We start from the raw sequence: 25,057 nt of genomic DNA, 5'->3' as shown, positions 1-25,057 counted from the left end.
GGGCCAGCTCAATTAGATTTACTCAGAGAAGTCTCCATGTGAGAGGACTGACCTCATTCTTATTACTAATTCCTGAAGACCTGGTGCCTCCAGCTCCACTGTCTGCAGGCCTGAGTGGCGCTGTAGGTTCTACCTGAGGTGCCAATGTTGATATCATCAACCCTGATGTGGACTCAGGTCTCAGCAAGCTGTGTCTTCCCAGCTCACCTTGAAAGCCTACTTATTTTTAGCCTTGCTGACATCCCATGTAGGTGAAAAGGCCAGGTATCTATCAGGTCAGGTAACTTTTCCCTCCTACACTGTCCCAAGTGAAGTGTTGAGCAGTACTAGAGAAGCCAGGAGACTGGTCTTAGAAACATTCTAGGGAGAGCTTTTGACCAAGGCCTCACCTTCCGGATACAATGAGCTGTGCCCTTTCTCAGTCAAGGGTCAGAACAGCTAACTCTGCTCTGGGACTGGAAGTGTGTGTGGTGCCAAGCAGCTGTCACTGGTCAGAGGATGGGAACTAACCCAGATAGTGGGGTCATCCCGGAGTGGGGGTTCACTTAAAAAGTAGAGTCAGCCTAGAGAGGGAGGGTCAACTGACAGCATAGAGGGTTAACCCAGAGAGTGGGACCAAATCAATGTATTTTTTACCTCACTGCAAAAGTTTCATATTAAAGTCTTTGGACAGAAGTTACCAAACAACTGAGGTTAAACACCTGAGAAAGTAAAGTAGAGATAACAGCAACCTAGGAAAAATTCCTGTTCTTTGCTTCTTTTTGTGCCTTCTGTTCATGCTCTGTAAAACTTTACATGTTTATTTGGGGTATGTGAGATATATCTGCCATTTGCCGTCCACATACACATCCCATTCTTTTCTACCCTGTACAACAGACTGCATGCACTCTCAACGAACTTTATCCGTCATCTCATACTGGCTGACCTCCAGTTGGATTTGACCAATGGGAGCAACAGGAGATGGAAGGGAGGAAAAAGAGTGATACTGGAATGTTTAATGTTGTATACTACTGTGTTTCTCCATTAGAGACGACAATTCCCATCAAACTGTTTTTCCTCTGTTTTCCAGTAATCACTCCCGTCTCTTGCTCCTTCTTGATTCATGGGTGTGACTAGCCTGGAGGATCCTGCACCATCCCTTGTTGTGCTTTTCTTAAACTGTGCCCAAGTCTCCGTAAATAGCTTCTTTCTTAAATTCTGCCTTTATTATACTCTCCTACTTGGACCATGAATGATTCAAGAGGTATATGTGTACGTGTGTGTGTGTGTGTGTGTGTGTGTGTGTGTGTAGTGGTTGGTTGAGGAACACAGGCTTGCTTAGGTTTGATCTTCAAGCCACATTCTTATGACCACTACAGCTGCATTCTGTCATCATGAGGTGGGACTACTGTCACACTGTTACAGGTCTGCAACTTTGTCATTCTGAACGTTTCAGTGCACACCGTCAAAGTCAGTTTTCCTAACATCCTGATTTCCCTGGAGCTATACAAGCAACAAAAGCTAGAGTTAATGGCAATCTTGGTCCTATGTTATCTCTGAATAATAGATAATATCACCTTCATTAAGAAAACTGAAGTTCTGAGAATTGAAGTTCTCATTCACTTCTTGTTTCCTTCCTTCGTTAAAAAGCATGAATTATCTATTATTTCCTCAATACTGTACCAGTTACTGTGACTACCAAAATAAGTGAAAAATTGTTTCCTCCTCTAAGAGTCTTGATATCTAGGATAAAGATGGAAATCATGAAAAAATTGATTTACATATGTGCAGCAAAGTGTTATAAGATTGAATGTCATATAGGTAACTTTTTACACAACAATAGAAAGCCAATAGGTCAACAATGATCCTAATCAAAGTATTTCCAATGTGATGTCTTTAGTTTTTTAGGTGGATTTTATGAGCAGAAATATTATCAGAGGTCATTTTATGATTAATTTTGAATAAGTACTCTATTAATAAAGGTTTTACATCCAAAACTATAGTTCTCCTTTAATCTTTTACTTATCACCTATAAGTCTTATATTTCTGATATGGACCTAGTGAGTTTAACTATCACTTTTTAAAGAACTTTGATTAATGTCTGGCCTCCATTAAAAACTTATTTTAAGGCCCGGCGTGGTGACTCATGCCCGTAATCCCAACACTTTGGGAGGCTGAGGTGGGCAGGTCACGAAGTCAGGAGTTTGAGACCAGCCTGGCCAACGTAGTGAAACCCCATCTCTACTAAAAATACAAAAAATTAGCTGGGCATGGTGGTGGGTGCCTGTAATCCCACCTACTAGGGAGGCTGAGGCAAGAGAATCACTTGAACCCAGGAAATGGAGGTTGCAGTGAGCCAAGATCTCACCATTGCACTCCAGCCCAGGTGACAGTGCAAGACCCCATCTCAAAAAAAAAAAAAAAAAAAAAAAAAAAAAAACTTATTAAAAACAAATCCTGAACTGCTTTAATAAATTTAATATATTTGATTTCATAGAAAAAAATTGTGATCTGATAAATTTTCTCTAGTACTTAAATGATTCCTATAAATTTAATAAATTAACCTCTTAAAATAGCAATTCTTAAGCTTTTGTAATTATTTGAACACAATACAAAAAAGATTTCAACCTAAATTTGTGTCTAAATTAATCAATCAACTACTCACTATAAATTGGAGTTTCAAGACTGATCTGCAGTTATAATAGACTGAATTCTCTTAAACATGGTAAGAACATAAACACCAAAAATTAAACAGATTTCTAAATATAAAATAATAATATAAACTTGTTATATAAATTTTCTATTCTTAATTATAAGAAAGAAATACATCATCCCAAACAATTCTAAAGGAGGAAGATTCCTTCTCAGTTGAGCCTGCATTGTAGCTAGTGATATTGGTCAGGATGGGAGGTCTGGAGCTGCTAGTGTCTAGAGAGATTTCTCACGACCCCTACTACCAAAGGGAGCACCTTTTATCACCCCAATTCCTTGGGCTTCATAAATTGGAAAAGAGAGTTTTCCCTCTGCACACATCCTGTTTTTGAGTCATGTCTTTACCTAATTCTTCCACCAATGCACCCATGGAAGTCTGCAACCCCAGCCCTGGAATCACCTCTATGGCAGAGAATAAAGCTTGGACCAAGGTTATGACCCTCCATCCACTCTACTCCTACTCATCCTTGGCAAGAAGTTTCCTTCCCAACCTGTGCCAGCAACCAGTCCTACGTCCCGGGTGGAGAAGAGGGTCCAGAGAGCTGCAGAGGGGGAGTGTTCACCTGGAAGAAACTTAGTCTGGAAAAGCACATCTAGCTGTGCTGCCCTTTTTCCTTCAGGAGGAGCTACAAATGCAGGGGGCAGCTATATGGATTATTTGCAGACTTAATAGTAGGCCAGGCCCATGGTGACATTCCCAGCCAACCACTCAGCCTCACTCTGAGAAATATTTCCCACTCTGCCCCACTCCTTTCTTTTCTCCATGTGATCTTGCCCAAGTTGGTACAGACACCCTGGGTGGCAAAATCCATTTGCTGTCTGACACACACCACTCAGCCTCTCCCATTGGCAAGAACTTCAGGTTTGCCAGGAGCCAAGTGAGCTTTGGGTAACCCCAGAGATGTGACGGCTCCTTGGAAAATGATCTCTGGTCTTAAAGTACATGTGCTCTCAGCCTTGCCATCTGTTTTTTTTTGACTCTGTCTCTTTCCCTTTCCCTCCTTCTTCTCCTTTTTGTATCTTTTCATCTTCTCTCCTGTATTTCAGTCTCTTCTATCTCTTTCTCTCATCTCTCTTCTTTACTTTTTCTTCCCTTTTGGAGGGAGTCAGTGATATGAATATAAATATTTATGAATTTCATTTTTAAGGGGAATGGTAGAGAGGTGAAATGAATATGTGTTAATGCCAATAAAAATAGTTAAACTTGTGAGCCTTTGCCATATGCCAAGCACTTAGCATGTATTACCATTTGATCTTCAAAACAATCTTCATTGATTGATTGACTGATAAGAGTATTGCTCACGTTTTCCTTATGATGAAGCTTAGGGAGGGTAAGTAATTTCCTCAAAATTAGCAAACGTGGTTTAATCACATGTCCCAGGAGTACCAACTCTAGGATCACTCTGAACCATGTTGCCATGATATGATCCAAGGCCAATTTCCCTCTTCATTTGGCTAGGGGGCTTCAATATCATTTCCCTGAGATCCTTGGATCCAGGGCCTAGCCAGGAGGCCCAGACCTCTGCCTCACACTGAGCTTATGGACAGATCACAGCCACCAATGGTAAACCTAGAAACTACTTTATTTCGAGAAACAAGGTGTGTATTAAATCCACCCTAAAGGGCAAAAGCTTCTCTGTATTCATGATTGCTAATATGTGGTAAGAACTAAGTAACCTGCTCTAGTTCAGAGTAGAGAAAAGTCACCTGAATGTGAACAGATAAAGAAAAAAGGGGGTATTAATGGGAAGGATGAAATTAAAGGAGTCTTGCTAGCTGGGGGAGAAGGTATATGATCTACAAAGCTCCAACCTCTGCCAAAAGAAGTATTTGTTAATCATCTGTGTATGTTAAGTCTGCTACCAGGCCCCCCAATGAATCATGCCTCCTGGTACTCACGCCCTCATGCAGTTCCTTTCACAATGACTCTGGGCTTGGCCATATGTCACTTGCTTTGGTCAAGAGACCTCATCAAATGTGACCCAAGCAGAGGCATAGTAAGCACTTGCACATTGAAGCTTTTCCTTCTAAACTCAACCATCAGATAAAGAAGCTCAGTCTGTGCTGTTGGGAAAAGAGGCCACATGGAGAACTGAGATACCTAAGCCCATAGCCAACACCAAAGCCCCAAACATGTAATTGACCCATTTTATCTTCTAGTCCCAGATGGGCCATCCCAAGGAGCACCATGTGGGACAGAGATAAGCCATCCCACTGAACCTTGCCCAAATTCCTGATCCATGAAACAATAAGTAATAAAGTCATTGTTTCAAGTCACTAAGTTTTGGAGTGGTTTACTAGGCAGTGAAAACAGATCATTGATATGACTTTCCCAAGATATGTGCTGAATGATTGCTCATTAGGTATTTTCCTACTCATTTCCCCACCTCCCTAGGGACAGCTGTGCTCCTGCCTCTCTTCATCCCTCCGTGCCACTGTCTCCTGGAGAATGAGGGCTCAGGAAATGAAAAAGCAGAACAAAGAGGGGCTTCCCCAGTAACTCATGGTACCCCTTGGTCCTTCCAAGCAATTCATGATAACAGGGTAGACATTATAAAACAAGGAGGCCAAATCTTTTTTGAAAGAAAAGGCTCCTTTTCACTGCCAGAGGTTCTGAGCTAATCAAACATGTTGAGAACTGCCCTTGATCATCCTAAGTGGAGAAAGGGCCTTCAGGCCTTGAAGTGAGCAGAGAAGAGGGTGTCTTTTCCAGCTACACGTCCCAGCCGGGGATATTCACAAACCGTAAAGGGAAGTGGGGAACAAGGGAATAGAGCAGTCTGGAGGCGGGAAGGACATGAATTGGTTGGGAGCTAGACCTCCAAGGAGGTGGTGGATTGCTTTTGGAAAGAAGGAAATTTTAATTAAAAGGAAAACATGGGAGGGGTCTAATCAATTAGCAGATAGATGCTTTTCCAGTAAATACAATCAATACATGCTTCTTTATCTTCTGACTTGAACAGCTTAGGACAGGAGCAATATCTTAATCATCTTTGATAGCTGGTACCCAGCACAGGACTGGCACAGTAGGATGCTCAAAGTCACAGTGACCTCAGGCCGGTCATTTCACCTCTTGTCTTTGCTTCCTCAACTGGAAAATGAGGGCACTGAATAGGTGTTCCCCAAAGCTCTCCTGATCATCCACAGAGAAAGGAGCAGGCTGGTGTTTTATTTTATGTGTTATGCTGGCAATGGCCTGGTTTCTCTCCCAGCACACTGACAGGTTGAACTAGAAAGAAGATGGAGGGAAGGCCAAAGATTAACCCCTTCCTTCCTGGTGGCGTCCCCAGGATTGAGGCCCAGGGAGGAAGAGGCTGAGACTGCCGAGCCTTGGCTGGGACCTGTCACCAACAGCATAAAATGTGGGCTCTCCTCAGCGTGGGAGAGGAAAGGAGGCAGGTGGAGCCGGAGCTGGGACAGGGATGTAACACAAATATCCCAAGCAGCTGAGATAACAAGAACCTATTGAGGAAAGAGGCATGTCAGAGGAAATGAAACCAACCAGCCCATAAATGAAAAAGTTCCTAGGAAAAGTCTTTCTGAAAGTGGGGGGGGGGGGCGAGGAATGAGAGGGCAAAATAGTGAGACTCAAAGCCCCCAAAATCAAATGGAAAAACATTGCAAATGCATGGCAAAGAATGTGGGGAGAAATAAATGATTTCACCCAGTGGTGGCAGGTCACAAACCTGTATCAGCAATGGTAGGGAGAGATCAGAAGAAAGCTATGCAGGTGGGCAGGTCCAAGGACTGAAGAGAAACAGGGCAATAGAACCAATGTCTCAGATTTCCTCTGCAGAGTGGTCCTGCAAGGTGAAGGCAGGGCATTCTAGACATAAGAGTTTGAAGTCGCAATTGTGATTTATATTCTGCCTAGTGTTTTATGCTTTATTTCATTTTATTTTTATAGTTGCTTTGGGAAATCAGAAGAGCAGGTGTCAGCACCTCATTTACTGATGAGGGAATGAGATCCTAAAGCGATTAAGGGACTCACTAAGGGCACTGAGCAGCCGGGAACACTGGGGAGTAGAATGTGGAATGACCATCAGGGGACCTCCAGCATCTGCTCTGAGGTCTGCTCACAAATTCACCACTTAAAAAAAAAGCATCATATTTTTGATATACTGAAATAAATCTACTCACACAACCTGCCTTTCCCTAAGAATATAATTTCTCACAAAACTAAAATGTATGTGCAATATTTCTATGAGTGGGAAACAAACTAGATGTTGCGAACCGTCGTGAGAGAGGCCATGATAGAAACACAATTTTAAGGAGAAGAGTTCGAAAACTGTCTTGTGCAATTGAGAAAGAGCAGTTAAAATGAAAACTCCATTCTTTGCTCCCTAAACGACTCCCTCAGAAAGAGTCAGTACATAATTGTGTGCCGGGGAAACTATTTTAATTCCGACCCTATCTTAAATGGTTTCTCTTAGAAGGGCTTATGATAACTGCGCTGTCTCAGAATTGCAGCGATTCCCAGCTCTTCCTTAATTGGGGTTGAGTCTTTATTCAGGCACTCAATCCAGCTGCTTGGCTGGGTTTTCATCAGGAAACAAGCTGCTGTATTTGGGGCTGTAATCCCTATCTGAACACACCAAAGGCAGTGAGCTGTGGTGGCTTTCAGTGTAAGAAAGAGAGCAGAGAAGTAGACTCCACCACCACTCAGCTCGATTTGCAGGAGAGGGAGGGGAGAATTAGGACAGAATTAGAATCAGGACTGCTGAGTCCTTTGGAGTCCAGGACGGGGGCTGCCAGCAAGAGAAGGTGCAAGTCAACATGTGCTAAGGCCCAAATGAGCCTTAGCACTTGGCTGGGCCCCACAAAGGTCCTGACAGCAGGGACTACGTGGTACTTACCATGCAAAGATGACTCACACTACAAGGTCAAATAGGAGGATTTCCACAGCACAGACACTAAGGAACTAAGGGATTCAGAGAGGGCTGCATATCAGAGGGGGCTAGGAAGTGCCCATGGAGAAGTCTGGGCAGTGTCCGCGGAGGAAGGCTGGTTGGACGTGTTCCCTGAACAGGGTAGAGAAAAGCAGGAAGGAAATCCCAAGGTAGAGATGGGACGGAAGAATGCTGGGTGTGTGTGGGAAACACTGGGGAGGTCAGTCCTGCTGATAGTGGTGAGTGCTGATGTAGAAGACATATGCTTAGAAGGGGCCTTTGGAATATATTGTGGGAAGCTCAGGGAGAGAGCACTGCCCTCAAAGCCAGCACTGAATCAGGAAGCTGAAGTGTTTCCAACTTTGTCACCACTGGCCATGTGCTCAGTCAAGCTATTTTTTCTCTCTCTGTCTTTCTGGGCCTCAGTTCTATTATTTCTGTAAGAAGGCGGTTAAGAAGACCATCACAATAGCTAATATGACTTATGTTCTCACAGTGAGCCAGGCCTTGCTCTAACATACGTTCACTCACTCCATCCTTAAACCACTGAGGAGGAGGACCTGGGATTATCCCCATTTTACAGATGAGAAAACTGAGACACAGAGAATTAAGTAACTTCTCCCATGATGCAAAGCTTATCAAGTGGAAGAGCTGGGACACAAAAAATCCTACATTCCTCTAGAGCTTGTGTTTTTCTTAACCACTACTCAATGCTGCCTCTTCAAAGTCCTCCCAAACCAGCATGCAAGTGTAAAGTTAAAATGAGCTGTCATCTGCAAAAGTAGGACACGTGACCCTTTTTCCCAAAATGACAAAGTAATGCCTTCCTCCTGTAGCCTGGGCTCACCCCAGACTCCTAATGACCCAGAAGAAAAAGTCACCTGGCTGAGCCCTGAGGCTGGGCCTGCCAGGGGCAGGTGTGTGTGTGTGTGTGTGTGTGTGTGTGTGTGTGTGGTGGGGGGACATTTAGCGATTGTCACTCCAGCCCCTGCAGCATATCTGTTTCAACAATGGCTGCTTATGACATGCTTGGCTTCTGTCCTTGTCATTATTGTGTGCTCCAGTTATGATATGTGTGCTCCAAGAATGATCTGAGGAATAATAATTGAAAGCTATTATTAATACGAACAAAGGCAATAGTAATAGGGATCATGATTGAAGAGCCCTCCAAGGAAGACATGGGTCACAGAACACAGAATTATAAAACACTGTGGTTGGAAGGTTGCTTAGAGATCATCCATCTCAGCCCCCTGATACTACTGATGAGATTGGACTTGAAGAGGCTAAGTCTGCTGCCTGAAGGCACTCAGCTTGTGGCACCAGCTCTGACCAGGACCCACATTTCCTGAATCTATTTACTAAAGATCGTGCTAGAAAAGGCAGGCGTCTCCTTTTCCAGTTCTAGCAGAGTGATTTTTGCATTCTGGGACACCCGCTACAATTCCTAGGACACACAGGGTTGCTGGGTTGGAAAGTGGGAGGTTTGGAGCTATGGCTCCATAAACTGAGAGGGGCCTCATGCCTTCCTCTTATTCATATTTCAGTCTACAGAAAGTTAAAAGAAGTCAAAGCACCAAGCTTTGAACACTCAATTCTCATGCATTTCTGTCCAGAGTCTAGAGCCGTTTTCAAGTTTTGACCATCACCTAGAAGGGGGGCTACAGCACTCAGAGTCTAAGGGCCTTTCCAGCTCTTGGCCTACCAGGGACCCCAAACTGCACAAGGATGGTTTTCAATGCATTTCTTAAGACTGAAGATCCATTGCTTTGTGCTGGGCCCAGAAAAGACCTTCTCCATCAACAAAAAGACTGCATTTACCCTGGCCCAATCAGTAGTCATGTGGCCTAGGCATATCAGTCCAAATTTCTGTGTCCCACTTTCAACAACTGCACAATAAATGGACTTTAAAAATGAATGCCATCTTCCCCAGGCTCCAGGAAGCGCTCGGGGCCTCACTGCTCTGGGTGCAATCTGTCTCGCTGGGGAGTCCCGATCACCAGCCCCTGCCAGCCAAGGAGGCGCCAGCCCCAGATGAATACCTAGAGAGGGACTAATCCTGAAAACTATATAGCATGTGCTGAAATTTAAGTAACTTCTTCCTAGGTTCCCCAAGATCCCCTCGCTTTTTTTTTTTTTTTTTTTTTTTGAGACAGAGTCTCACTCTGTCGCCAGGCTGGAGTGCAGTGGCACAATCTCGGCTCACTGCAACCTGCAGCTCCTGGGTTTCAGTGATTCTCCTGCCTCAACCTTCCGAGTAGCTGGGACTACAGGCGTGCGTCACCATACCCAGCTAATTTTTGTATTTTTCCTAGAGACAGGGTTTCATCATGTTGGCCAAGATGGTCTCGATCTCTTGACCTTGTGATCTGCCCACATCGGGCTCCCAACCAAGCCTGTTTTTATGTGTTTTTGGTGCCCCCGGTATTCTTGGCAAGTGCTTACTCTGCTAATAGTTTATCCACTTCCCTCTGTGTGCATTTGTTTAAGCTAAGAAGGAGGAAAAAAAGAATCACGAGGAAAGCATATATAGACCAAAGTATCCAGTTGTAGCTACTCAAGCTTGTTATAAACATCTCTGTGAGACAAGAGCATGGAGGCAGTTGGCCTATGACAAATGTACTCTATTCCAGTCTTTTTTTGAGATGGAGTCTCACTCTGTCGCCCAGGCTAGAGTGCAGTGGTGCGATCTCGGCTCACTGCAACCTCGACCTCCCTGGGTCAAGCAATTCTCCTGCTTCAGCCTCCTGAGTAGCTGGGATTACAGGTGCACGCCACCATACCTGGCTAATTTTAGTAGAGACGGGGTTTCACCATGTTGGCCAGACTGGTCACGAACTCCTGACCTCAGGCAATCTGCCCGCCTTGGCCTCCCAAAGTGCTGGGATTACAGGTGTGAGTCACCATGCCCGGCCTCTGCTTACTTCTTTTATACTTGTGGATTTTTTTTTTCATATGTATTCCAACTCCAGTGTTATCCCAAGAGATTGAGGGCCTTGCACTGACATTGGTCGTCCATCCAGAATAGCCCTTATTTCATTCCACTGGTCATGAAGCTCACCCCACTGTGGATTCCTCAAACCTCCTCACCCCCTCAATATCTCTCCAGTCTCCCTGGCCCTCCCTCTTCCATCCAGACATTGGCCAGCTCTCACATAAAATGTTTTACTGTCCTATCTTGAAGAACTTGGCTGTCTGGTCAGCCCATATTGCTTCCCTAAATTAATTAAATCTTATTTTTTTCAATGAATATGCAGAGTCCACTGGCATGAAGACATAATTTGCTTTGTCCTAGAGAGAGAGAGGGCTTACTCCATGCATATCCCTGCCTCTCCCTGCTCAGTGTCTATCCATGAGGGCATGCTGGTCACCACCTCATCCCCTGTTCCATCTTCATCCTCCACTACTTCTTTCCCCCTCACAGAACAATATTGACTGCATTTTATAGAAAAAAATACATTCAAGTCTTTTTCTTATCTGGGTGCAAAAAAAAAAAAAAAAAAGAACGTGCATGGGGCCAGGGGGCAAGATTATTTAGCAATATAGTTTTAAAAGAAATCCACGCAAACACTCATCCACATAGCTCAGCATTGATCACAGAATAAGAATCCTCCGGCGGAAAGGACCTGGGAAGAATGCTTCTTGTTTCAGGGCAAGACATCACTGTGATCACGTCAGACGGCTGGCCTCCCCTTCCTGAAGGTTCTTCAGGGAAGGAGGCTTCGGTAATTTTCCTTTGGTACTACGTTGTATGCTTTCACAATTCTGGTTGCAGGAAATGGTTTCTCAACTTTAATTCCTTTTACATCAACAAGGCTTGATCTCTGATCTTCCTCTGATGGTCACAACTTTCCATCGCTTTCTCATTTGGGAGAATGTCCCCATCAGCTTCATCTAGTAGGTAGGAGCCCTCAGGCTCCCATAAGGGCAAGTCACAAACAGAAGAGGAGCTGGTTAGGTCTGAGACAGTCGGGAGAGTGACAACAGAGGCAGGACAAAGGGTCCATGCCTGGGCTGATGGGGGAGGCTTACTCAGGGCTGTGAGTGGAACAGTGGCCCTAATGGGGCTAGAACTTTAGGGTTTTTATAAGAATCCAGAAATTCTGATTTTTATGCAAAACCTCCACACAGAAGTTCTGGGCCGAGGGCAGCCTGTGAGACTCTCATTTCCACCTCCCCTCCAGACCACAAACTGTATCTATGTGTCCATGTCCGGCATGCCAACTGATGCTTAATTTGCTCACAAACCACTTTTACATGAATTAACGAGCAAATAAGCAAAAGACTATCATGAGGGTCTTAATTGACAGCAGGAGGTCCTTGGCATTTATGTATTGAACATTTTTTGTGGCTTCAAGTTTTCCCAAGACACCCATGAATTCCAAGAATTGTGTAAATTGATCATTTTTGTTTAGGTGAATATTCAAAACAAACACACTTAATCACCATCAAACAATGGCCTTTTGAATGAACCTGGCCAACAACACAAGATCCAAGCGGGAAAGGGCTTTATCATTTGTCTTTACAGTTCTGTGTGCATTGCATGAGGGAAAGTGCAGAGCTAATGAATGAATGCAGTGTTTTTGAAAACACAAAAGCAACACCACAAAATCATAGAGCCCAGGGGTAGGAAAATGATAAAAGTGAGGCCTAGTTTGGAGAAAGCTTGGAAAGAAACCTGAGGTTGTCTGGCATCCCTGGTCCTGGTGGCCTAGTGATCCTTAACCCCAAGTAAAAGCCTGAGCAAATTGCTCTCATCTTTACCTCTGCTGATGTCCTAAAATGTGTTTCCTAGTCGGGGTAGCCTCCAGCGAAATGACCTGTATTGGGATTGGATAACTCTCAGGAGTTAATTTTTATTAGATGAACGGCACACTTTCTAACTCTCCTTTTGAAGAGACTAAGCTATTCTGGCTCCCAGGGAAAAGGAGATCAAAGTGAAATTCTGATACTGCCCAGGGGCTGAGAGCCTTCGGGAAGGAGGAAGGACAAAGCGGACTGGGCTGCCTCAGACGGTGAATGGCCTGGGAAAGTGAATCTGGGTTTGGGGCTAAAAGCAGAAAGCTGAGGACTCCTGGAGGGGGCTGAGGAGGATCCTGAGGACAGGTCGCAGCCCCGGTGGTGGCTGAAGCTGTGTCTCCCGTGGACTTTGCCCTCAGAGTGGCTGCCCAGTAGGTGGGCACTCGCACCTCCCCTAGACGGCCTGCACTCCTGGTTGGTTTCATGACCTCAGGCTGAAGTTGGGGGTAGTTTTTTGCATTCTCAAGGCTGGGGTCGCAGGGATAAAATTGTCAGGAAAAGGCACTGAATCAGAGGTCAGGAGAAGTAGATTCTGCTTGGAAATCTGCCTCTAATTGACTTTAGGCCTGTGGGCCTGTCCTCGCATCTGCTGAAGGAGGGCGCCCAGTGAGGTCATCTCAGCTCCCAGTGAAGTCATCTTCCCTGAGGGCTTCTGCAGCACCTGCTCATGATAAGCACCCTCACTCCCAAGACACACACCACACACATCCATACATGCCACACACCACACACACCACTCCCCACCACAGCACCCCTACCAGTTCACAGACCACACATACCCATACATACCATGGTGCACACACCAATTCACACACCACATACCCCCATACATACCACACACCACAGACACCACATATCACACCACACACACCTCACGCACCCCATACACCCCACACAAACCACATATACCCCTATACCACACACACCACACGCCACACACACACTACATACCGCACACATGCACCACATACACCACACGCCACAAACACACCATATACTGCACACACCACATATACCACATCCAAACCACACCACACATACAAGTTCACATACCACACATCCATATATACCACACACCACACAGCAGTTCACACCAGTTCAAAAACCACACACTTCCATGCACACCACATACCAATTCACACCACATGCACCAGTTTACAAACCACACACACCAATTCACACACCACATACCCCCATACATACCACACATCACAGACACCACACACCCCACCACATATACCCCACGTATCCCACACACCCCACACAAACCACATACACCCCATACACCACATGCCACACACACACCACATACCACACACACCATGCGCACCACACTCTACAAACACCACACCACACACAAACCACATATGCCCCATACACCACACACACCATACGCATACCACATACCAAACACACCACATGCACCACATACACCACACGCCACACTCTCACCACATACTGCACATACCACATGCACCACATCCAAACCACACCACACATACAAGTTCACATACCACACATCCATATATACCACACACCACACACCAATTCACACCAGTTCACAAACCACACATCTCCATGCATACCACACACCAGTTCACACCACATGCACCAGTTTACAAACCATACACACCCATACATACCACACATCACACACCACACCAGTTCATACCAGTTCACAAACCACACATATCAGTTCACACACTACACACACCCATGCATACCATACCACACACACCAGTTCACACATCACATGCACCGATGCATACCACACACCACACACCAGTTCACACACCACCCGCAACACACACCATACGCACTCATACATATCACTTACCAGTTCACATACCACACATACCCATACCTACCATACCCCAGTTATGCCAGTTACCCACATACACACCATATGCCACACACACCAGTTCACAAACTACACACATCCATACATACCACAGACCACACATACCGGTTCACAAACCACACCCACCAGGCAGTACAAATGCAGGTTTGTTACCTGGGTATGTTGTGTGGGTATATCATGCATATATTGGGTATGTTGTTACCTGGGTATGTTACCAGTGTCTATTGTTGCTATCTTTTTTTTTTTTTTTTTTTTTTTTTGGAGACAGAGTCTCACTCTGTTGCCCAGGCTGGAATGCAGTGGCACCTTCTTGGCTTACTGCAATCTCTGCCTCCCAGGTTCAAGAAATTCTCCCACCTCAGCCTCCTGAGTAGCTGGGATTTCAGGTGTGTGCCACCACACCCAGCTAATTTTTATATTTTTAGTAGAGATGGGCTTTCACCATGTTGGCTAGGCTGGTGTCAAACTCCTGACCTCATATGATCCACCCGCCTCAGCCTCCCCAAGTGCTGGGATTACAGGCATCAGCACCGTGCCTGGCCTATTGTTGCCATCTTTATGTCCACGAGTACCTGATGTTTAGTTCCCACTTATAAGTGAGAACATGTGGTATGTGGTTTTCTGTTCCTGTGTTAATTTGCTTTGGATAATGGCCTCCCTCTGCATCCATGTTGCTGTACAGGACGTGATTTCCTTCTTTTTCATGGCTGCATAGTATTCCATGGTATATATGTACCACATTTTCTTTATCCAATCTATTGTTGGTGGGCACCTACGTTGATTCCATGAACCGTGCTATTGTGAATAGTGCTATGATGAACATGTGAGTGCATATGTCTTTTTGGTTGAACAATTTGTTTTCTTTTAGGTACATACCCAGTCACGGGATTGCTGGGTCAAATGGTAGTTCTGTTTAAGTTCTTTGAGAAATCTCCAAACTTCTTTCCACAGTGGCTGAACTAATTTAAATTCTCAAGAATATATAAGTGTTCTCTTTTCTCTGCAGCCTCACCAACATCTGTTGGTTTTGACTTTTTAATAATGGCCATTCTAACTGGTGTGAGATGATATCTCACTGTGATTTTGGTTTGCATTTTTCTGATAATTAGTGATGATGAACATTTTTCCATATGTTTGTTGGCGGCTTGCATGTCTTCTTTTGAGAAGTGTCTATTCATATCTTTTGCCATAGGTACTTTTTAAAAACAGGAATGAAACAAAGTGTGTCAATTTAAAGTTGTTTTAAAGGAAATATTAGGTTAAAAATTCGGTAAATAAAAAAGATTAGGTAAATAAAAGCACGGGTGGTACAGGAATATGGCAAAAACCGAGAGATTGGTATGAAAATGACTGATGCTGGAAAACCCTCCCTGACCTACCAAGACACCCCTAACAACTAGAAGACCTTCCTCACAGGGAGCTGAATTTGCCCCAGATAGCTTCCACCGTCTAAGCTCTGTGTGTTTCTTGGGAGGCAGGGCACAGGTCTGGTCTTCCATAGGCAGTTTCTTCAAATACTCAAAGCCCGAAGAGGCCATGAAATCCCTCCCCTTTCCCATACTCAGCCTTTCCAGCTCCTCTGGCAGTCTGCAGCATGCCAGATGACCAAACCCTCTCTCCATTGTCCCTGCCCCACGTTAATGTTTGACCAGAACAGACTATCATCCTACTTTCGGGTTGTACCAGTCAAATTGTGGGGATGGAGGCAGCTCCCGCCACCTTAGCATCCAGGTCACAGCAAAGTTCAAGGAACTTATGGTAAAGATCAATCACACTTATGGCACTGCCAACAGAAGCACATGCTTGTGGAAAATAGCGTAAAAGAATTTTAAGGAGGAGAGCTGGGCTCTGAATTACACCGGAGGCAGAGCGTCTGGACAGTTTTCATCAGAAGCCACGTCCTAGAGGTAGCGAGCTGTAAACAGTCGTTAAAAGCAACGGAGGAATGTGTTAGGGTGGGCCCAGGAAGGTGTCAGGCCACGGCGGGCACGTGAGGGAATGGGCACAGCCTTCATTGTAGGCACAGAAGCTGGAGCCAGCGGGAGGAGGCAAGCGGGCAACCGAACAGAATGGTGAGTTGTCCTGCCGAGGATCACCAGATCCCGGATCAAGAATCCCTGGCAGGATTTTCATGACTACGGATCCCCAGGTGCCACAGGGACCAGTTGATTCAAAAGAGCTTGTGGAACATTAGTAAACATTTTGCTTGTTTATTGTTTTTTTTTTTTTTCTGTTAACTCCCTTGATGACTTAATGTGTGGTCAGAGTTGAGACTAAGCAGTTACAGAGTGTAGAATGCTGGATATATAATGAAATCTGGGTGAACTAAACAGATGTGATCCCTGCCCTCATAGAGCCTTAGAGCCTGGGCGAAGAGATAAACATTAAACACAAAATAAACACACAATTACACATTGTGGTTTGGGTTACAAAGGAAAAGAATGGGGTGGAGGTCGTGTGTGTTACAGCAAATGGGGCATCTTTCCAATTTCTGGGAGAAGACACTCAACGGCTATAAACACCATAGAATTCAGCTCCATGAAATCAGCTATATAAATTGTGACTAATGCTTCCGTGTGTTGTGCAATGGTATAAACATTGCAAAATATAATCAAGATTAAAAATTTTAAAAATAAAATACCAAGCACTATCTCTGTTTGCCCTCTCTGTGTTGTAGACACACGGTGCTAGAGAAGGTCTCACCCCTAAAGCAAAAAAGGGCATTTTGACTCTAAACTTCAGAGAAGCATGGAGGACTGGGGCAGAAACCATAATGAGGATGTAAGAGAGTCTTTGAGAAAGATGCAGCAGGATCTGGTTCAGCCTGGAGAAGAGGAGGCTGGGAGGGCAGATGGGAGGGGATGTCCAAACATATCCTGAGTTTTCTTATACCGAGAAAGAAAGATGAGTTTCAGCTTCTTCAAGAATTGTACATGGCCATGTGCGGTGGCTCACATCTGTAATCCAAGCACTTTGGGAGGCTGAGGAGAAAGGATCATTTGAGTCCATGAGTTCGAGACCAGCCAGGGCAACGTAGTGAGATCTGTCTTTGCCAAAAATTTTAAAAATTAGCTAGTTGTGGTTGTGCATGCCTGTAGTCCCAACTACTTGGGAGGCTGTGAAGTGGGAGGATCACTTAAGCCTGGGAGGTTGAGGCTGCAGTTAGCTGCGATTGTACCACTGCACTCTAGCCTGGGTGACAGAGCATGGCCCTGACCCAAAAGGAAAAAAAAAATTATACAGTATTTGGGTGAATCGTTTATCATTTAAACCATAGAGTGTTGGGGATTTGGAAATTAGTGTTCAGGGGAGAAACCGGAGGGACAGAATGGGAATTAATATATAGTAATATCAATAGCTATAGACTTTTTAAAAATTACGTGTCCTACCAGGGTACTTTTACCTTCCTTGAACCACAATTTTGTCATCCATAAAATTCAAGCGGTGCTCCTGGCTCCCTGTGGGTATTTTGTGAAGCTGTGTCGCATGCTTGCAGGGTGCCAAGCACTGTGCCTACTTCCCTGGGCCTCACTGGGAAAGGAAGCTGTCACCAGTCAAGCATCTGCCGTGGACCAGGCACTGTGTTTGGAATTTTAGAAACGTTATCTGTTTGATTCCTCACAACAAGCTCAATACTTGGAGCTAGGTATTATTTTTTTCATTTTCAGATGAGAAAAACCGAAGCTCAGGGAACATTTCCAAGACCAAGAGCTGAGAACGCTGCGGAGCTGAAATTTAAATCCAGTTTGTCAGACCCCCCCAATCCGGTTTGTCAGCCGCCCCCCATCCCCAAATGAGAATGTGAGAGGGAACAGAGTGGGTGGGGGGAGTGGAGTGAAGCCAGGAGAGGTGAAGGAGAGGGAGAAAGAGTAAAGAAGAAAGAGAAACAGGATGTGAGAAATCGAGACTGAGAGACAGAGAAACTGCGGGAGAGAAAGAGAGAGCGTGAGATAATGAAGCAGAGAAAGACAAGGGTGAGGAGAGGGTGGGGAGGGGACAGAGGGAGGGAGAGCCTGCCAGTAGGTGATGGGCAAAGTCTGGAATTTCTCTGCTTCACTGAGGCTTTAGTGAAATGACCCCCTTTGTCTGCTGACGCATCTGCTTTTACAGTTCAGGGTGTTCCCCACGTTTCCTGAAGCCACGGCCCTCCCCTGTGGTGTCCTACTTGCTCCTCTGTTCCCAGCCTTTCCCAGGTCCCTAGGTTTGAGCGAAGCTTGCACTCCGGATGCCTCTGGTTTGCTCAGACAATAGCTTAATTGCCATTTAAGAGAACTGATGCAACTGACCTTTAACACGCATTGGTTACATGACATCCGAAAAGAGACAATAGAGACTTCCTTTTGTGAATGACAAATTCTTACAGCAATTACTTCAAGAAGGAACCATGGGCAGATGGGCCTTAGCCACAGGCCGAAGGGATGGGGCCAGCTCTGTGGATTGTCTTCCTCTAGGGGCTGGCTGGAGTTTTTGGGTGATTCCCTGGGGTCCTTAGGGTCCCCTGACCTTGAGTGAATCTTCTCTTACAGAAAAGAAAGTGGCCAGAGACTCCTACATGATTTGCCCTTTTGAAGGTTTCAGAGCAGCCCCCAGGTTACCAGCTCCTGCTTCCTGGAGCTGCCTCTAGAGGAAGATAGCACTCTCTCCACTCCTTATGAGCTGGGTCATGGAAATGGCCCCCTGCATATGGAGAAGTATTTTATCATTGACATCGTTAGAATTGATGACTCTTTTTAAATCCTTTACAGACATTGTCCCCTCGTCCTGCCATGGCCCATATCCCAGGAGGACCTGTCACCATCCTCCACCTTGGTGAGACATTGCCCAAGTTAATGGGCCCAACAATAGGGTCAGACTACATTGCTGCTCCATTTCCAAGAAATTCTCCACGTGCAACATCACATTTCCTGTAACTCCAGTGCCTCAGGTCTCGACTCAAAGGTCACCTCTTCAGAGAGGCCCCTCCTAATGAACTTCCTAAGGTGACCCCATTCATTCCTTTTCCCAGGTTCTCTGAGGCCTGTCGCTCTCTTATATTGTCTTTGCAGCACTCACCCTGACTTGCTGTTCTCTTATTCCCACAGCCCAGGCTATCCTATGGATGCACTCCTCCCACCATCTGCTCTCCCAAGCTCTGCTGAAACCCCCCTGCCTAGAACAATTTGCTTCGTAGCTGACTTTCCATAAACATTCATACAATGGATACAGAAATGACACAGAGGTCAGCATCAGAACCCAGGATCCCCCAAAGCCCTGTTTCTCTCTTTCACAGCCTCTCTCTACCTTATTCCTATCACCAAGGGATTCTTCTCTCTTTCCCTCTTTCTACTATTTGTTAGAATGGAAAGCACTGGGCCGGTAAAGCTGTCACTCAGGATATGATTTTTTCTCTGCCACTTTCTGGCTGTGTGCTTTTCTTAAATCATGGAACTGCAACTGAAAACGCATGGATGACAACACAAGGATTATTTTAAAGATTAAATGAAATAACTAGGATGACTGGGCCTGGCATATATTAAGCATCAATTAACATTAATTGCTTTGCATCCTTCTCTTTGTTTCTCTCCTCTCCCATTGTTCCTTCCTTATAAATTAATTCCCTGCCTTTCTCACAATCTTTACTCCCTACTCATAAAGCTTCTGCCAGGGTTGTCAGCAGGATTTATGTACTTGAATTGAACTGAGTTAGGTAGGCATGAATGAAAGGCAAGTTATCTCTTTCTAGGGGGAGAAAAATTTAAGGCAGAGTGATGTGAGAAGTGTCGACAAGACCCAGGAAAGCCCAGGGAGAGGGGCTGGGGCTAAGGCGTCTGCCCGCTTGGCAGCAGCTGTGATGTTCGGAGTACGTGTTCAGACCAGCAGTCCCTGAGATGCTATTCCACTTATTCTGGAGACCACTCTGCTCTTAGCCCCGCTGGGCAGGTAGATTTGGAAATGTTTATTGCATGAGATGTGGGATGGAAGAAAGAAACCTGAATTGGGAATGAAGAGGCTTGTTCCACCTTCCCTCAATCCTGCCAGTAGCCAGCTACAGAGCTTAGGAAAAGTCTGTTTACCTCCCTGGACCTCAGCCTACCCTCTGACAATTAAAGGGAGATCACAGTTTTGAAGGCATCTACCAGCTCTGACGCGCTCTGGCTAAACCAGACCAAAAATTTTTTTTACAGCCATTTTTGAAAAGGGAGTGAGAGAAGAGAACTGCAGAAGCTTAAAGAAGCACCATTTGCAAAGTTTTTTTTTGTTCTGTTTCCAACAATCTTACTTATTCGCAGCACAGATTCTGTTAGGCTTAGACTTGTGTTTCGGTGGCACTGGATTGATAGACTCATACTAATTGGTGTGGGTGTCTCAATTTTCTCCGTCCAACTTTGCTGGGGTCTCGCCTTCTCTCTATGGAAGCTCTTCTCAGGCTCACAAGAGCTGAGATTTCTCAGAGGCGCCTGTAGATGGATTTGCCTTTTTTCTGCTATATCCATCTGAAGCCACAGCAACTCTCTCTGAGCCAAAACCACTCACTAATTAATACATTTCACAGGGTGAATGAAGCACTGGCACGACCAGCAGCTTGGGGCAGCTCCCAAAGCCATGGCCTTGCCCAGTGCCCAGAAAGTCCTGCCTGGAGACGGCCAGTGCCAGTTTCCTCCATGCCAGCACCTCACCCTTCTCATTTGAACCCAGAAATGTGTTGACTTCCAGTGCCCCCTACCACCCTAGCTGTGTCATTTTCTCCTTCACCTGTTTGCATTTCCAAGGAAGCACAAGTCACAGTCATAGGGGCTCGTGATCTATTTTTTATTCTCCCCTTTTCTGGGCAGAATGATGGATCAACTCTGGAAAACCTATTAGGAAAGGGCTGGGCCATCCTGCGTTTCCGCCAGGCCTGTCCAGGTGACTTTGAGTCAACCCACTGAGAGCTACTTGGCCACAGGCCATCTCTGTGGGGCACCATGTTTATTTGAACCACTGACCCTGGCCCTAGAAGAAAAGATGAAGACTTAGTGATACCCCTTCTCCCCATCTATCCCCACCAGGGGCTTTTTGGAGTGTCTTTAATTTACAGTCTGTTGGAAAGCACTCAGAATCACTCTACCCTACACTCAAGGCAGGACCCTTCATCATCCATCTGCGCCAGGCCAGCCTGCAGGCATATATCCCTGAACTTCCCAGTGAGGTTCTGAAAGAACTGGGAAACTGAGGAAGAGATTGGAAATAGAGGAGGCCCCAGTGATGGCTGTTTGTATCAATCATCACATTGATTTGCTTAGGGAAGTCTTATTCTAACATTACACTGGTTGGTGATCAGGCCTCCAGGCCCACTGGACTCCTAAGATAAGGCTCCAGCTCCACAGAGTTGGAAGACAAAATTGTCCGCTCCCTCCTTGCATTCACCCAGCCCGGGGTCTTATCTGGCAGATGATTGCTTGTTGCTCCAGCTTTCTCTGTCCTAACCTCTACAACCATAGTCACCAATGATTTACTTATTCTTAGACCCAGCCATAACCTCACATTTTCCATGAATCAGCTAGCCCCCTATGGTTTCCTGCAATGTTTCCTTTATTTTCTATTTCCTTATGACATTCTTTAAATGAATCTCCTTCTATAATTACCATTTGACCCCTGGGCTTTTACTCTCCACATTGCTACAAAAAAAAAAAAAAAAAAAAAAGTCCAGTTCTTTTTGCAAGACGCCATTCCTTATATATCTTTCCATCTTCCATAATGCCTACAACAAGGGTGACCACATCATAAATTATTGGTAAAGATTTCCTGGTTATGCCAAGACAGAAATCTAGCCTGCTTGGTAGTTACATTTCTTTAGGCAAAATAACAAATTGACTTTCTGCTTTGAATTAGGCATATTTATGTCAACAGGAGGCCAAATCACTGCTGGGTGAGTGACCCACTGCTAGGAAGATGCCCAGACGCCAACTGGGAAAAGCTTGGCCAAGCCAATCAGGTGCTGCCAGAGCCTTCTTTGTGATAGCAATGCCAACCCATGAACTAATACCCTCCTTTGGGAGAGATGCTGACACGCCAAGGAAACTAATGTTTTTATCTCAGCTGACTCATTTGCTGAGAACAACAGGTTTATAAGGCAACTCTTAGCTTGACCCACTCTACTCCTCCATCAAAATAAAGAAATAAATAAAGTTTTCAAACTAAAGAGCATTAAAGAATGATAACTTTTCTTTTTCTTGGTACTATCTATTGACCTATACCTGGTTTTCACTGTAACACATTTGTGGTATGAAAAATGACAATATGATGTCAGAGAAAATGAGAGAGACATTTTAGAATTTATCAGAATGTGACTATGGTCACTTAAAGTCCAACTTTCTCATGTGGGTTTCAGCCTGTGCTGGAAACAAATAGCCTCTCTTACCTCTAAAGTACTTGGTTCTGTGCTCAAAGTGGCATATTAAGTTCTGCTGATTACATCAGAATTTGGATGGTGTCTCAGGATCTCAGTTTCCTATCAGTGGAATATGGAGTTGGGTTAGGCATTATTTAAGATTCCCTCCAGTTCTACCCTGTTTGTTTTAAGGTTTCCTCTTATATTTTGTAACCTCTCTTCTACTGCTTTTTGGCAAGGTCTGGAAAAGAAAGGCTATGAAGATAGGCTTGAAGATAGGGCCCACGTTACAAGGGAGAAAAAAAAAAAGACGAGGTCTCATCAAATCAACTCCATACACACTAGCAAAATTAGGGAAGGGATGGAAGGGAAGGTGAAATTAGGGTGAAAATTCTGTTCAATGCTTAGCAGAATTGTGAAAGGCCAAAGTTGGCCTAGAACCCTGCCCATACAATTCCAATGCCCCTACCACCAAGAATTGTTTTTCTCCACCCTGGACTAGGCCTATCCCTTGGGAAGAATGACCACAGAAGAGGAAAGGAGGACAATAGACAGAGCTGCGGAAATGCCCCCCAAACTTGGTCTCGGCATTGTAGACCTGCAGGCATCTGTGCAGTGCATGTTGGGGGTAAAGCCAAGTTGAACATTAATTGTTGTCATCCAAGAGTCAATAGCTTGAGAGAGTCTTTCTGCAGCTGCTTTGTACCTCTGAGCCTCCTCTCCCATGGGAGAAAGCATTGTGAGGCAGAGGGCAGCATAGTCTCATAGAACTTCACACCTAAGTTGGACATGAATTGTAAGCTAGGCTCTACCACATTCACATTCTGGGAAGGTCACCTCCCCTCTCTGGCTCTCAGAGCCATATAATACAAGGAGAAGGTGGACTTGATCTTTAACATTCTTCCAAGTCATATACTTTGTTGTGCCACAGATAAATTATCTGTTCAGCTCAGAACTGCAGGGTGGAGCGGAAGCGGAGACAATGCTGACTGTTCTCTGTCATCTCACCTCCAATCCCTGCCCCTGTGCTTAGTCAGACAACCCATCTGACTTATTTCCTGGAAGCCTATTCCCTTATTTTAGCTCTTATGGTAGAAAAATCAGGACAGTGTGAGCCCTTCCATGGGCCGTGCCATTCATAGATACCCCTGTGATTTGTGACTGCTTCTACCCAGAAAGCTCCTGGAGGCATATATTTACCAAGCAAAGGACCCTTGAAGGAAGTAGCTGTTGTCCACACAAACCATTATGGGCCAGGGGGATATTAATAAGAAGGAATGTGTGCCATCAGAAGCACTCAGCATCTGCAGTAAACCAAATCCTCCCTCTGTAGGTATGGGTTGTCTAGAAGAGAAATTTTCATGCATGACTCAGTTGCTTGCCATGCAGTGCCAAAGAAACTTAAGGAACAGTGTTAGAAAAGGCTGAGATCATTGGCAATTAAATTGACCCTTCTACCTGGATGTGTATGGCTTAGAAACCAGAGCATGCTGTAGTTCCAGCCTTGAGAATTTTTGTGAGCATAGCAAATGGTCCCTTCACTTTAAGAAAGATCAGAAAAAGAAGATATGACCTAAATCAAAAGCAAAACAAGGCTATAATAGCATTATATGACTTAGATGCTAGACTCAAGTGACCAAGAGAAATATTTTTCCCAGGAGGAGGGAAAATGCCTCTTTTATAAATTGAGAAGTGCGCTGTTCTCATACGGGTCAGACAGTAGAACATAAGGATTTCTATGCCACTGTTGCCTAAAGGAGAGAATTTTTAATGAGAAATGTTTGTTGAGTCCTGTGATTCCATGAAGACTTCCTTCAGCAAGAGCAGAATGGGACAAGGTCCCATTCCAAATGGAAACAATTTGAGGGGTATTTTAACTATAATCCTAAATGATGATAACAATTGCTTCCACTTAATTAGAATCAGTGCAAGAAAAAAGTGGAATGGAGATCACTTTACACAAGTAAAAAAGAGCTTTGTTAAATTACAGTCCCCAAAGCCACTGCATGGGAAGAACTGACTTGCCTTTCTAGGTGTCAGGTTTTCCTATCAATGCTGTAGCTCCAACTTCTTCCAAGAGGCCTGGCTTCTAGGATCTTCCTTTCAGAAATGGCCAAAATGGGATAAATGGTGTAAAAAGAGTAGATAAAGTACACTTCTTCAGAGTGAGTATAGAAGCTGGGGACACCTGGATCTAAGCTGGAATATCCTAAAATCTTCCTTCATTATGGATAACAGGATGATCTACACCTTGTTTATGCCTCTAAGGAAAAAGAAAGGAGAAAAGAGTGAATGATGGAGAAGTGAATGAGGAGCTGCCAGTGGTTTCTTATCAGTAGCTCTCCTAGGGAAGGATAATGTCTCTGGCATTGCTCCAGGTGTCTGACAACCTCTCTTCACCGAAAGAGGCCATCATCATGACAACACGACCCTGCCGCCACTGTGTGGGGATGAATTTGGTTCTAGGTG

The 25,057-nt window shown here is 44.9% G+C and overlaps 1 long non-coding RNA gene across 1 annotated transcript, besides 2 other annotated features; it reads left to right on the top strand.

The window, feature by feature from the left end:
• The first annotated feature begins 16,005 nt into the window (after nt 1-16,005).
• Nucleotides 16,006-22,399, top strand: LOC105373873 (uncharacterized). The gene is made up of 4 exons (XR_923877.3): nt 16,006-16,310; nt 17,907-18,005; nt 18,984-19,217; nt 19,320-22,399. It is a non-coding gene; the product is annotated as an uncharacterized LOC105373873 (long non-coding RNA).
• Nucleotides 17,599-18,798: an enhancer, noted in NCBI's record as "CDK7 strongly-dependent group 2 enhancer chr2:217928846-217930045 (GRCh37/hg19 assembly coordinates)". NCBI's record gives its function as "activates an origin of replication core promoter dependent on BRD2, BRD4, P300/CBP, MED14 and CDK7 cofactors, with strong dependence on CDK7, by STARR-seq in HCT116 cells {active_cell/tissue: HCT116}" and the evidence as "EXISTENCE:reporter gene assay evidence [ECO:0000049][PMID:35650434]".
• Nucleotides 23,421-23,715: an enhancer, noted in NCBI's record as "tiled region #4936; K562 Activating DNase matched - State 8:EnhW". NCBI's record gives its function as "activates a minimal TATA promoter and a strong SV40 promoter by Sharpr-MPRA in K562 cells {active_cell/tissue: K562}" and the evidence as "EXISTENCE:reporter gene assay evidence [ECO:0000049][PMID:27701403]".

Source organism: Homo sapiens, chromosome 2 (genome assembly GCF_000001405.40).
Source record: "Homo sapiens chromosome 2, GRCh38.p14 Primary Assembly".
NCBI lineage: Eukaryota > Metazoa > Chordata > Mammalia > Primates > Hominidae > Homo > Homo sapiens.
Note: the sequence above shows the minus strand (reverse complement) of the source record. Positions and strands in the feature narration are given on the sequence as shown.